Source organism: Homo sapiens, chromosome 10, assembly GCF_000001405.40.
Source record: "Homo sapiens chromosome 10, GRCh38.p14 Primary Assembly".
Taxonomy (NCBI): domain Eukaryota; kingdom Metazoa; phylum Chordata; class Mammalia; order Primates; family Hominidae; genus Homo; species Homo sapiens.
The window spans coordinates 31,145,429-31,158,346 of record NC_000010.11 but is presented as its reverse complement, the minus strand read 5'-3'; the positions used below and the strand labels follow the sequence as shown (position 1 = coordinate 31,158,346).

The following is a 12,918-nucleotide window of genomic DNA, read 5'->3' as shown; positions in this document are numbered from 1 at the left end:
AACCACTGAAGATTTGTGAGCAGGAGGATGATATTATAACATTGCCAATGCTATATATTTGGAAAACTAATCTGACTACCGGGAAATGCTATAATAGAATTGGAGGAAGTGGAGTTCCGTGTGGAAATAACAGCTGGGAGGCTGTTACAATGGTTGGATAAGAGGCCTGAATTACAGTATCGAGGGCAGAAATGAGAAGGCCAAATGTGTAGGATATGGTAACTTGTTGGACGCAGAGACAAATGGAGGGAGCAGAATTAAAGATCACTGCCAATTTGGAGCCTGGGGGATGAGGAAAAATTTGTGAGCAATGTAATAAGGGAGATCTGGGGGGCTGGATGTGCCACCGGATTCTCTTTGTCCTCTGGATGCTCAGCAAATAAAGTCAAGGAAGCCAGCCAGACAGAGTGGTTGGGCCGCTCATGTCAGGTCTCTGAGTCTCTTTTGTGCAGAGGCGTCACCGCACATGTCCGGAGGCCATGTGGGACATGGGGCCGACGTGGGGCTCCAGTGCAGCCCCCACGGCTTCCCAGCAGACAGCACCTGACACTCTCTAAGTCTGGCCAAGCCTGGGCTCCGAGCAAGCGAGGACGAGGATCACTGAGCCGCTAGACATCTAGGAGGCCAGCCAAAGCAGAACAAAACCAGCCCCGCCAGAAGGAGGCTGAGGCTGTGCCAAGTGACCATGGAAGCTGCGTGTGTGGGCCAAATTGCTTTCTAATTACATTGCTCTCCAGACAAGACAAAATTGTGCCTCTTGAAAAGCATGTATGTGCTGTCAGAGTGGATCTAGAGAGGTCAGGCTACGTGGACATCCAGAGCAAGGAGTCATGTTTCAGAATTCATTAACATCTCCTCTGCTAGGAAGGAAGAACTTGGAGAGGAGGCAGGGAGGAGACTGTGACTCAGTGGGACATTAGGGACACCTTCTAAAGAATCGAACACATTTAAATAGAGTAGGTGATTCTGCAAGAAAATGTGCCATTTCATCATGAATAGCTCATCATTTCTCTCTGAAACGTAATGTAATACCCTCCTGGAAAAAATAACATAAAGATTGTTTTTTTGCCTGTGTCCTATAGCAAACATTCTCCCTGCTGCTCTGCATGCTGAGACAATTTAGTCGAAAAGGAGTTGCCTTAGAATTTGCCACATTTATGTTTGACAAAGAGGCAGTTTACTCACTAGTTGCACATTTGCTTTCTGAGATGCAAACGTTCAGGTTTGGCAGATATTGAAAACACTATTTTGATATTTTATGCACTTTCTTGGGACTCTATTTCAGAGGCAGAGCAATAAGGGAAATATTCCTGACTTAGAATTATAAATATAATGCTACCATTTGGGCATATTTATTTCCCAGGCAATCAATCAGGAAATGTTAGGAAATATATTCAGAGTGTTTCAAACATGATTCCAGTTAAATGAGTAATCTTTCCCTTTTCTTTCCATATGTTAGATAATTTTTTAAAAGATGAAATAGTAAAAGAATTAGTAAAATTTAGAATCTTGAACTCAGATTATAAATATAAATACGACAGTCAATTTTTAAAGAAGAAATGGCTTTAATTATGCTGAAATAAATGATGGTAGTAAAACCAAATACTGCTCATTATATTTATATGCACAATATTTAAAATACAACTGGCGATTCTAGGACTTTCTGGCAACTCTTTTGATTTTGTCAAGATAAAGGCTGAACTAGCTGGTATCTAGTCTCTTCAACCAGGTCCCAGGTGGTCCAGACCAAGAAGAGTCATGCACTGTATAACAACATTGCAGTTAATAACAGACACATGAAGGATATTGATCCCATAAAATTATAATACCATTTTTTTTTTGAGACAAGAGTTTCAGTCTTGTTGCCCAGGCTGGAGTACAGTGGCGTGATCCCGGCTCACTGCAACCCTCACCTCCCGGGTTCAAACGATTCTCCTGCCTCAGCCTCCCTAGTAGCTGGGATTACAGGTGCCCACCACCACACCTGGCTAATTTTTTGTATTTTTAGTAGAGATGGGGTTTCGTCATGTTGGTCAGGCTGGTTTTGAACTCCTGGCCTCAAGCAATCCACCTGTCTTGGTTTCCCAAAGTGCTGAGATTACAGGCGTGAGCCACTACACCTGGCCTATAATACCATAGTTTTACTGTATCTTTTTTTTTTTTTTTTGAGACAGGGTCTCACTCTATTGCCCAGGCTGGAGCACAGAGGCAAGATCATGACTCACTGCAGCCTCAGACTCCTGGGCTCAAGGGATCCTCCCACTTTAGCCTCCTCAGTAACTGGGATTACAGGCACAGGCCATTACTCCCAGCTAATTTTTGTATTTTTTGTAGAGACTGCATTTCTCCATGTTGTTCAGGCTGATCTCAAATTCCTGGGCTCAACTGATCTGCCTGCCTCAGCCTCCCAAAGTGCTGGGACTACAGGTGTGAGCCATCACACCTAGTCCTACTGTACCTTTTCTATGTTTAGTTATGCAAATGCTTAGCATTGCATTCCAATTGCCTGCAGTATCCAGGACAGTGATACACTGTATAAGTTTTGTTACCCATACAACGGGTCAGTGCCATCACATGGCAGGTGGCAGTCCAGTGACCACAACCAATGGGGACTTAAGCAATGGGGACTTAAAGGGATTTTATTAGTGGCAACAAATGAGGAGGACATGGGGGATAGTTCTCAAAGGAGTGCCTCCTCCAATCAAAGGTGAAAACAGGCCTTTTGTTGGCCTGGTGAGCTGAGTCACTGTATGTCGAGATGGAGCAAGATATTAATAGCACATGTGCTGTCATTGATCATGCTTCTACATATGTCACATGTATAGAAAATGGCAAATAAGTTACTCTCTGGTCAGGGATTTTAGTACGGTTATGAGGGAAGTTCCAAAGTTCATCTCCAACTCAGGCACCTCTGGATCCAATGGGTTTTTGCTTTTCCAGGGCTGAGCTTCTTCCTGGAATTTTTGGAAACAAGAAGAACTTAAGGTACAACAGGTACTAGTGGGTACTTTTTCACAGTCCATACCCAAAAACCTAGGGACCCTGGGTTAAGTTTGCAGCCTGAGAACAATAGGCTATACCATGTAGCCTAGGCGTGTAGGAAGTTCAACCATGTAGGTTTGTGTAAGTGCACTCCGGTATGTTTGCACAATGATGAAATCACCTAACAGCACATTAAGTGACTTATGACTGCACATCCCCAGCTATTTCAATGGTTTAGGTACATTTATATACACACCATGTGCTCACTGTACTTTTGACCAAAATGATCAAGAAGTTTTTATAAGAAAACTTAGATGTGGGTCTCTTCTACTTCCTTCCCATCAGTGCCATCAAGAAGAGTAGACTGCGGTAAGAGCTTGCCTGGCTAAGTCAGGCAAAGAACGTAGTAAAGAAGAGAAGGAGGGGGAAAGTCAGGTTGGTCTTCTTGCAGAGCCCTTTCTGATAAGAAATTCCTCTTTCTGGACTGTCTAACTAGCTAAATGTTTTTTTGGCCTTTGGAGGATCTGATGGAAAGGGTGGTTGGGTCAAGAGAAGACTGTGCTTCAATATCAGTTCTCCTTGAATGGAGACTGTGGTGGTTTAGGTATGGTTTGTTTGTCTTCACCAAGTCTCATGTTGAAATTTTATCCCCACTGTTGGGGGTGGGGCCTGGTGCGGGGCATTTGGGCCATGGGGGTAGATCCCTCATGAATGGCTTGGTGCCATTCTTGCAGGAGTGAGTGAATTCTTATTCTTAGTTCCTATGAGAAGTGGTTGTTTAAAAGAGCCTGGCATCTCCTCCCCCCCTCTCTTCCTGTCTTTTTTATTTTTTTTGAGACGGAGTCTCGCTCTGTCACCCAGGTTGGAGTGCAGTGGCGCGATCTCAGCTCACTGCAAGCTCTGCCTCCTGGGTTCACGCCATTCTCCTGCCTCAGCCTCCCAAGTAGCTGGGACTATAGGTACCCATCACCACGCCTGGCTACTTTTTTTGTATTTTTAGTAGAGACGGGGTTTCACCACGTTAGCCAGGATGGTCTCGATCTCCTGACCTCGTGATCCGCCCATCTCGGCCTCCCAAAGTGCTGGGATTACAGGCGTGAGCCACTGAGCTCGGCCTCTTCCTGTCTCTTGCCACATGATCTCTACACATCAGGTCCCTTTCACCTCCCCTTCACCCTCTGCCATGAGTGGAAGCAGCCTGAGGCCCTCCCCAGATATAGATGCCAGCACCATGCTTTCTGTACAGCCAGAAGAACTGTAAGTGAAATAAACCTCTTTTCTTTACAAATTGCCCAGCCTCAGGTATTCCTTTATAGCAACACAAATGAACTAAGACGGAGACCCGGGTGGGCCCATGGATTCCTGCCCATGAAGGTGCATCATTGGCGAAGGCTTGAACACCACAGGGCCGAGTCACTGCGCCTATAACCAGGTGAATGAGAACTAGGCCTCACGACGAGGTCAGCTCCTCCCAGTTCTGCTGGGGGTGAGTCAGTGCAGTTCAGGGTGAACCAAACATAAACCCAGCTCTGGGTGCTGCTAGTCTTGGTGCCCAAGGAAGCTTGGGAGGCTAAGCCTCTGCATCGTGGCCTGAGAGGAGCAAAGCAGCCTCTCTCCTTCCAAGATGCCTGGCCCACAGGCAGACTCTGCTGACAGGAGAATCATCAACTGAGAGACTCAGCACTTTGTGGAGTGGGTGAAATTGTCCTCCTTTTCTCTATATGCTCCTTTTAGTGCACTTCCAGGCACCTTCTTCCGTGTCAGGGACCCCAGGACCTCCTGCTTCAACCATCCTTCCCCATCCCCAATATCAACTGCCTACAAAGCTTAGCTTCAGGCAAGAATCTGTATGATTCATTGAAATCTTGGTGGGAAATTTTCAATGAGCATCTTCTCCCATCACATTGGCATAGAGTTCTTATATCAGATGGTAGAATTAAAGATTCAGTTTCCCGTTCAAGGATTTCAGGCAGCAAACTGGCGAAGGAGCACATATGAGGAACATCTCCTCGTGCAGATGGCAACCCAAGTTCGGCCCTGCTATATCCACACCCTGGGCACACATCGTTGGCAATATTTGGAGACACAAAATAAAAATACGCTGATGCTTGGAAAAGATATTTGTGTGTGAAAAGCTAGTTCATCAGTGCTAATTTGGGTGAATTACGTGGTTGGAACCACAGTACACAGCCTTCAGAATTAGAAGGGAAATGGAGATCATTCCAAAATCTCCCTACACAGAGATGAGGTATCAATCTCATTGTGGATCATAGACACTTCTAAATAAGCCCTGCATGATTTCCTTCTCCAGCCAGTTCTGTGTTGGCCTACTTTTCCTAGCCCCAGTTGACCCAGCTCTGGTGGCTGTAGCCTGAGAAAGGAAGTGACCTGCTGTGATGAGAGGTTTTCCCTGGTGACATCTATCCAGCTGGACACAGTTGGGGATCGTCTGGGGCCCACACATGCAGGATGTCAGAATGTGCCAAGATCAGCAAAGATAAAATCTTGGCACAGAATTCCTCCATCCTGAGGGGCAAGGAGACAGGACCCAATGACAGGTCTGAGCCCAGAGCTTGCTTCTAACATCTTTGGTCAATGGAACTAAACTGCATTTGGAGAGTGGCCTGCTTGGAGAGACAGGAAGAGACAAGTCAAGGTCATAGCTGAAAATCATTGCATACTTTTGCAAATCAGACTGAAGCAGGTCTATCAGCTGTCCTGGAAAGTCAAGGCAGCCTATAGATAAGCTCCAAGTGGTTTGGATTCAGGAGAGTCACTCCTGCAGGAAAGCTCCACTGTGATCTGCAAGTGACAGCTTTTATCTGTTCAGCCCACACACTCCCAGACATTATCTTTATTCTCTTCTAATTGGTCTTAGTGCCAAGGCTAGGGACATAATGAAATTAGAAAAAGCAATTCTGAAGGGAAGGAAGAAAACTGACTTGTACACTGACATTTGATAAAATACCTGCCTAATTGAATATGGAGCTCTAGATCTGGTATTGCCTGAGCTTCTCACAATTGCTATGCAGTTGTGTGGAGTAAAATCCCATCTGATACCCATGTGAGCTCCCTGGGCTCCCCAAGAACTGACAGTAAAGATGGAATCTAGTAATCTCCAAGAGGTGGCTTTCCACTTGGCATCTCAAACTGTCTTCTTATTGGTTGACAAATTACCTGTTGGGTACAATGTTCACTATTCAGGTGGGATGGATACACTAAAAGTCCAGACTTCGTTACTTCATTACACAATATATGAATGTAAGAAATCTGCCCTTGTGCTCCTTCAATATATATTTTTTAGGCTGGGTGCAGTGGCTCACGTCTATAATCCCAGCACTTTGGGAGGCCGAGGTGGGCGGATCACCTGAGGTCGGGAGTTTGAGACTAGACTGACCAACATGGAGAAATCCTGTTTCTACTAAAAATACAAAATTAGCCAGGCATGGTGGTGCCTGCCTGTAGTCCCAGCTACTTGGGAGGCTGAGGCAGGAGAATTGTTTGGACCTGGGAGGCAAAGATTGTCATGAGCTGAGATAGTGCCATTGCACTCCAACCTGGGCAACAGGAGCGAAACTCCATCTCAAAAAAAAAATTATATATGTATATATATAGTTGAAAAAAAACTATCTTCTTCTTAGCTTCAATGAATACAGGTTCTTCTTACCTCTGAAAGGAGAAATATTAGACTGGGGTGGAAATGTGTGAAAAGATTCCTGCTCATTTAGACAACCAGGCTGTGCTTTCTGAGGTTTATTATTACAGAGAGCAGGATAATGGCCTTCTCTGGGTAGGGGACAGCCCTGGGATGCCCAGGTGTGATCGCTGACACTTCTCAACCAGTTCCATTGTCAGAGGAACCCTCCACTGACTTGTTCTACAAGCTGACTGGCCTGCTTTTCACTTTCACATTCTCAATCTCCACAGTGGTGGCCTGGACCATTTATGGTGAATTAGCCTCTCTGTGTGTGCTTCTTTTTTCTTTTTTTTTAAACAAAAAACAAAACAAAAAAAAAACCACGTTGCCTTTAGTTAGTGCTGTGCTGTACAAAACAAGGACAGAGAAAGTTGGAGGAGTTGAAGATTATACCTTAACTTTCACAACAGATGTTTTTCAATATATTTTTCCCCAGGAGGAGAGTAAATGCAAATTGTTCATTTGAGCAATTTCTATCCCTTTTGGACGGTCCCTATTTTCTTGCTGTGAAATGTGCTCAGCTCCTCAACCAAATTGCATGGGATTGTTCCGAAGGGAGCAAACCTAGTTTGCATACTTCAAATTAGAAGAACGCATTAAAGTATGCAGGAATCAGAGACTCAACCCACCCAACTAACAACCTACTTGGGCCCTTAGGGAAGAAGCTGTATGAGGCTTAGCAGTTCTGACACCTGAAAGGTGGAAGGAGATCTAATGGCACTTATTAAAAAATGTATAAATCATTATGAAATGGTTTGAAATTTTAAGTCCAGCATCTTTCTAAGGCAGATATACTAGGGATCAAAATGTAATCGCCTCCACCTCCACACAGGCCTGCCAGGGCCAACTCCTGGTGTTAAAAAAAGGGGGAGGAACTCTAATTAGGTTTTCCAAACGACCTTCTGCAGCTGAGCGGTGGGTGCTCACCTTCTCAGCAAGTTCAGTTGCCCTGGAACTCCTAGGCAAGCAGAAAACTCTGGAAACAGAAACCATGAAACCTACGGAGTTCCCAGAGGAAACTGGACCACCCGGAACCTTCCTAAAACCAGTGATAACTGACCAAATTACAAGTCAGGAAAATGGTCTTTGGTGAGTGAGCATTTCTGAGGTCTTGGAATGCTTTCACTTGACTGAGAACAGTTGGATTTGAGTTTTTGGTTTTGCATCTGGATTGGGAAAAAAAAAAGTGGTATAAATTTTTTGCCTTAGGAGGAAAGAACAGAAGAAGGATGACCATCCTGAAAGCTCCCAGGACGGCTGAGAAAGACATGGCCAGGGCCCTGCCCCTGATCTTCTGCGTCATGCATCATGGTTCTCCAGTAGCTCCTACTCTTCACAACCAGTGTGACTGGACAGCCACGTCACACATGTGTGCCACTGGGCCCGCCCTCCCGAAGTGCAATGACACAGACTTTTAGTAACAGGGATTCTTCAATTTAGCTGGTAAAGTTTCATGTTTTTCTCAAGTGGATAAAAAATCCTGACTTCCTCTGTTTCTAATTAAAGACCTATGGGCAGAGGATGGCCAGCTCCTTCCTTTGACCTCTGTGTGAAGGAGTGTGGCCCAATGGCATCTCAATTTGCCTGTCACTGGTTTGCTGAGCAGGTTTATTTTTGGTTTTTTTTGAGATGGAGTCTCGCTCTGTTGCCCAGGCTTGCCCAGGCTGGAGTGCAATGGTGCAATCTTGGCTCACTGCAACATCTGCCTCCCGGGTTCAAGCGATTCTCATGCCTCAGCCTCTCAAGTAGCTGGGATTATAGGCAGCTGCCACCACACCCAGCTAATTTTTGTATTTTTAGTACAGACAGGGTTTTGCCATGTTGGTCAGGCTGGTCTCAAGCTCCTGACCTCTGGTGATCCGCCCACCTCGGCCTCCCAAAGTGCTGGGATTACCGCATCCAGCCTGTTGGGCACTTTTAAACAGGCCACCTAATCTCTCTGCCACCTGAGAAGAATATGCACCTCATTGATTGGTGTCCTATGCTGTTTCACTGTTTGGTGATATCAAGTGGTCATAAAAATGCTTTAGAAGCAAGGCCCTGGGTTGTGAAAATGCCCATCCATCACCGTAAGCAAATTTATTCCATAACACTTCACGTCTTTAGAACTAAATCAAATAAATGCAAGAAGTTTCTGAAATAAAAGGGAGAAGCTTCAAGTAATAGCTTGGTCCGAATAGAGAGTTAAGTACCCTCTGGAAGTGGAGTTTTTTCCTACTTGGGAGGCTTTAGTTCTATGAGTGTGGAAGTGTTAGAACTCGTGACATGTTTCTACGCTCCCAAAAGGCAAACTCTCGGTTTATTTTATGGCCCACACTTTGGGCCTTTTCCCAAAAAATATGCATCCAAAGAAGTCATCGTTTTTGTACAGTAGTTCCGATTAATGCCAGATCAATCTTTCCAAATGAATCAAGGTGTTTAATTAACATCAGACGTTTTCAGGTCTATTGGTTGTAAATGATGCTGACAGCAGGAGGGGAAGTTAGCATTCATTGAGCACTTATTCTATGCCAGGCACTGTGCCAAGTCCTAGTGTGTGAGCTCATTCAATTCACAGGAACCCATGGGACAGGGAATTCAGTCCTCCCATTTTATCTTATTTTTTTAATTTTTTACATTATGTGTACACATTTGTGGGGTACATGTGAAATTTTGTTACATGTATATAATGTGGAGTGATCAAGACAGGGTGTTTAGGGTGTCCATCGCCCAAGTATAATATACTTTTGTTAAACTATAGCCACCCTACTCTACTGCTATCAAATGCTGGATTTACTCCTTCTATCTAACTGTAGGCTTGTAGCCTTTAGCCCACTTCTCTTCAACCTCTCCCTGACCCTGCCACTCACCCCACCTGGTCTCTGTTCTCCATCTTTTCATTCTCTATCTCCATGTGATCAGATTTTTTAGCTCCCACGTGTCAGTGAGAATATGTGGTATTAATCTTTTTGTGACTGGCTTATTTCACTTAAGATAATGACCTTCACTTCCAGCCATGTTGCTGCAAATGTCAGGATTTCATTCTTTTTTATGGCTGAATAATATTCCATTATGTATATATACAGCACATTTTCTTTATCCATTTGTCCAAAGATGGGCTCTTAGGTTGATTTGATGTCTTTGTGGTATTGAATAGTGCTGCAATAAACATGCAAGTGCAGGTATTTATTTGTTATATTGATTTCTTTTCCTCTTGGTAGATACCCAGTAGTGGGATTGCTGGATTGAATGGTAGTCCTATTTTTAGTTTTGAGAAATCTCCATTCAATTCTCCCATTTTAGTGAGGACATTGAGTTGCAAAGAGATTAAACAATTTTCCCAAAGCCACATTGCTTGTAGGTGACAGAATTAGAATATGAACTGGGCGGTGTGACTTTAGGCTTGTCTTTTTTTTTTTTTTTCTTTTTTTTTTTTTTAGAGATGAGGTCTCACCATGATGCCCAGGCTGGTCTCCTGAACTCCTGAACTCAAGTGATCCTTCTGCCTTGGCCTCTCAAAGTGCTGGGATTATAGGCATGAGCCACTACCACTACCCCGAGCTTTTTTTTTTTTTTCTTTTGAAACAGGATCTCACTCTGTCACCCAAGCTGGAGCACAATGGTGTTATCACTGCTCACTGCAGTCTCTACCTCCTGGGCTCAAATGATCCTTCCACTTCAGCCCCACAAGTAACGGGACTACAGGCATGTGCCACCACGCCCAGCTAGTTTCTATTTTTTGTAGAAGCAGGGTCTCACTATGTTGCCCAGGCTGGTCTCGAACTCCTAGGCTCATATAATTCTTCTGCCTCAGCCTCCCAAAGTTGTTATGATTACAGACCTGAGCCACTGTGCCTGGTCCCTGGGCGAGTCCTAACCATGTGCCATCCTCCCCTTGGGCTTCCTACACTAGTCTAATGGAGGAGCCCTGCTCAGGTGAGAATGCCATTTCCCTGGCCATTCATGAGCTGGAATCCAGTAGTCACTCAGAAAATACTAATTCCTTGTCCCTTCCTTTCCCATCAATCCTATCTTACAGTCATACAGGAGAACTTATTTTAAAGAAAGACTCTTCTTAGGGTTAGGAAAGAGAACAACCTATTTGAGGGGATCTTCCCCTTTAGTTGCATGAAGACTTAAAAGGGTAGAGCAGATCAGTATCTCTACAATGTATGAGTCCCCATATGCTGATGATGGTTGCATTATGTATTTCAGTAACGATCCTTGTCAGACTCTAAAACACTGGTGTGACTCACCAGATACATGCTCAAAGCTTCTCACATTTAATATCCTGGGAAAATAGCTCATCCACCCTGCTAATGGAAGCCCTCTGAAGTTGCCCCTGGGGATCCAGGGGTGACTATGTTGTTTCATCTTCCCGGGAGTGGCTTTTTGGTGTGTGTTTTTATTTGTTCTGGAAAGAGGTCAGAAGCAAAGAGGAAGTGTCTTTTCCATCCTAGAACACACCAAATCAGGAATGAAACCTATGATAATTCCAGCCAGCTGGACCCAAGTCCCCTGCAACAAAACTGTCTCACCCCACAGTGGACCCACTAAACAGATGGAAGGGCAGAGGAAAGACATACTGACACAGAAGGGTCAGAAAAGGGACTCACACATTAGTTGCACATCAGGTTGTCAGTCACCACTGATGAGTCGCTGCTCTGGATTCTGTCTGATCTTTCATGGACATAAACCTGGGGCTCTTGTGGCTTTGTCAGAGTAAATATCGTGTTTTTTGCAGTCTGGAGGATGGTTGTATATACTCAGAAGACCCTGGAAACCGTGAGTCCAGAGTGGCTGGCCACCCCAGATGAGATTATTCTTGATCCCAGATTTCACTGAAGGAAACCAAAGCCAATAGGCTGTTTGGGGGCTCTGCACGTGCGCGTGCGTGCGTGCGTGTGTGTGTGTGTGTGTGTGCGTGTGTGTACGCGCATGTGCGCCTAACCGGCTGTTCAAAACGTCCTTCGGAGGATTCCTGCTTTGAGACTCCAGCCCTGCAGGCAGCACGCAGCCCCTCCACCACATCCTGCCTCTCCACTTCCTCCCCTCCTTTCCCAACTCCGAAAGCCAAGATGGGAAGTCTCTCACGACCCTGTGGCTTGGCGGGGAAGAGGCCTGAACTTGATACAGCTGGCTTTTCTGGGGCCTGGTAAGAGCATTTCTCCCTGAGTCTGGGCTTCTTCGCTTACCTATTTTTAGACGTGTGCTGCAGACTTTTTTGAGGGCTCAGACAGGAGTCTCTGGCGAGGCTAGTCCACGCCAGGCATGAGACTCGTGCACAGCAAGGTCTGCTGCACACCTGAGCAGGGATCCAGGGAGCAGTTACATGTGGTTTGATTGAAAGTCAAAAGGAAGACAAATAAACAGCCTTTGGCAACTCCCTCGCTACCCCCCAAGAACAAAGTTCTGGGTTTTCCCTTCCACCTTAGCAGCAAGTCATGAAAGGTGGCTGAAGGAGCGTGACCTGGGAATCTGGGCACATTGAAGAGGCAGCATGGCAGGAATGTCACAGGCAGTAACTAGGACCTCTAACAGCTGATCACAGAGCACTTAGGCAGGCCTGGGCGGGGAGCTGTCTCTCCAGCCCCACTTCTTGCCAGTTAGTCCCCATGAGGCAGGCACTCCCTCCTTGATCTCCCTGACCTCCCCGCTCACCAACTCAGGGCTTTACACCTGTCGCTTACCTGCTCTGTGTCCTTCAAGACCTAGGTCAAATGTCACCATACGCTTTATTATCTCAAAAAGACCGATGCCTGGCTGTTACTGTCTCCAGACTGCAAGAAGTTGAGGGACAGGGACCATGTCTTATTCATCCGTATACTGCAGGTGTGCCAGAGATTAAATGTGCTAGGTGGGTGCAGGGACATGACAGGGATGTGTGGGAGACCAGGCTGGAGGCACAGTTTGGGGCCAGCTTGTAAAGCGTCACAGGAAATCCCACATAACAAGTGTTTGGTGAAAGCTGAACGAATGAATGATCAAATGACATGCAAAAAAAAGATGTTATCATTTAAGGCCAAGAATCAGCAAATAGCCACTAGAAAAAATAAAACCAGCCAATTCATGATCCTGATTTTGTTTTCTACTTACAAAGCATGTTAGTTTCAGTAGGAGTTTATGAATTCAGTCTGTTTATACATTCAAGAGACTGATGGTACCTAAACCTGGGTTGGTTGGGCCAAATGCTATACATGAAAATACCTTCTCTGATTTGTCACCAATATGGGCCATGTGCAGGCAGAATATCATATCTG

The 12,918-nt window shown here is 45.2% G+C and overlaps 1 long non-coding RNA gene across 1 annotated transcript in view, besides 3 other annotated features; it reads right to left on the bottom strand.

Annotated features, from left to right (window-relative positions):
• Positions 1 to 2,417: 2,417 nt before the first annotated feature.
• LOC105376481 (uncharacterized) overlaps positions 2,418 to 12,918 on the bottom strand; it is a 123,422-nt gene continuing 112,921 nt past the window's right edge. The window contains exon 3 of the long non-coding RNA XR_001747410.3: positions 2,418 to 2,954. This is a non-coding gene — a long non-coding RNA (uncharacterized LOC105376481). The remainder of the gene's footprint in view (positions 2,955 to 12,918) is intronic.
• Positions 8,180 to 8,409: an enhancer, noted in NCBI's record as "active region_3235". NCBI's record gives its function as "activates an Ori minimal core promoter by ATAC-STARR-seq in GM12878 lymphoblastoid cells {active_cell/tissue: GM12878}" and the evidence as "EXISTENCE:reporter gene assay evidence [ECO:0000049][PMID:35858748]".
• Positions 11,072 to 11,622: an enhancer, noted in NCBI's record as "H3K4me1 hESC enhancer chr10:31435654-31436204 (GRCh37/hg19 assembly coordinates)". NCBI's record gives its function as "activates a minimal SCP1, AML or CMV promoter by ChIP-STARR-seq in primed H9 embryonic stem cells {active_cell/tissue: H9 hESC(primed)}" and the evidence as "EXISTENCE:reporter gene assay evidence [ECO:0000049][PMID:30033119]".
• Positions 11,623 to 12,174: an enhancer, noted in NCBI's record as "H3K4me1 hESC enhancer chr10:31435102-31435653 (GRCh37/hg19 assembly coordinates)". NCBI's record gives its function as "activates a minimal SCP1, AML or CMV promoter by ChIP-STARR-seq in primed H9 embryonic stem cells {active_cell/tissue: H9 hESC(primed)}" and the evidence as "EXISTENCE:reporter gene assay evidence [ECO:0000049][PMID:30033119]".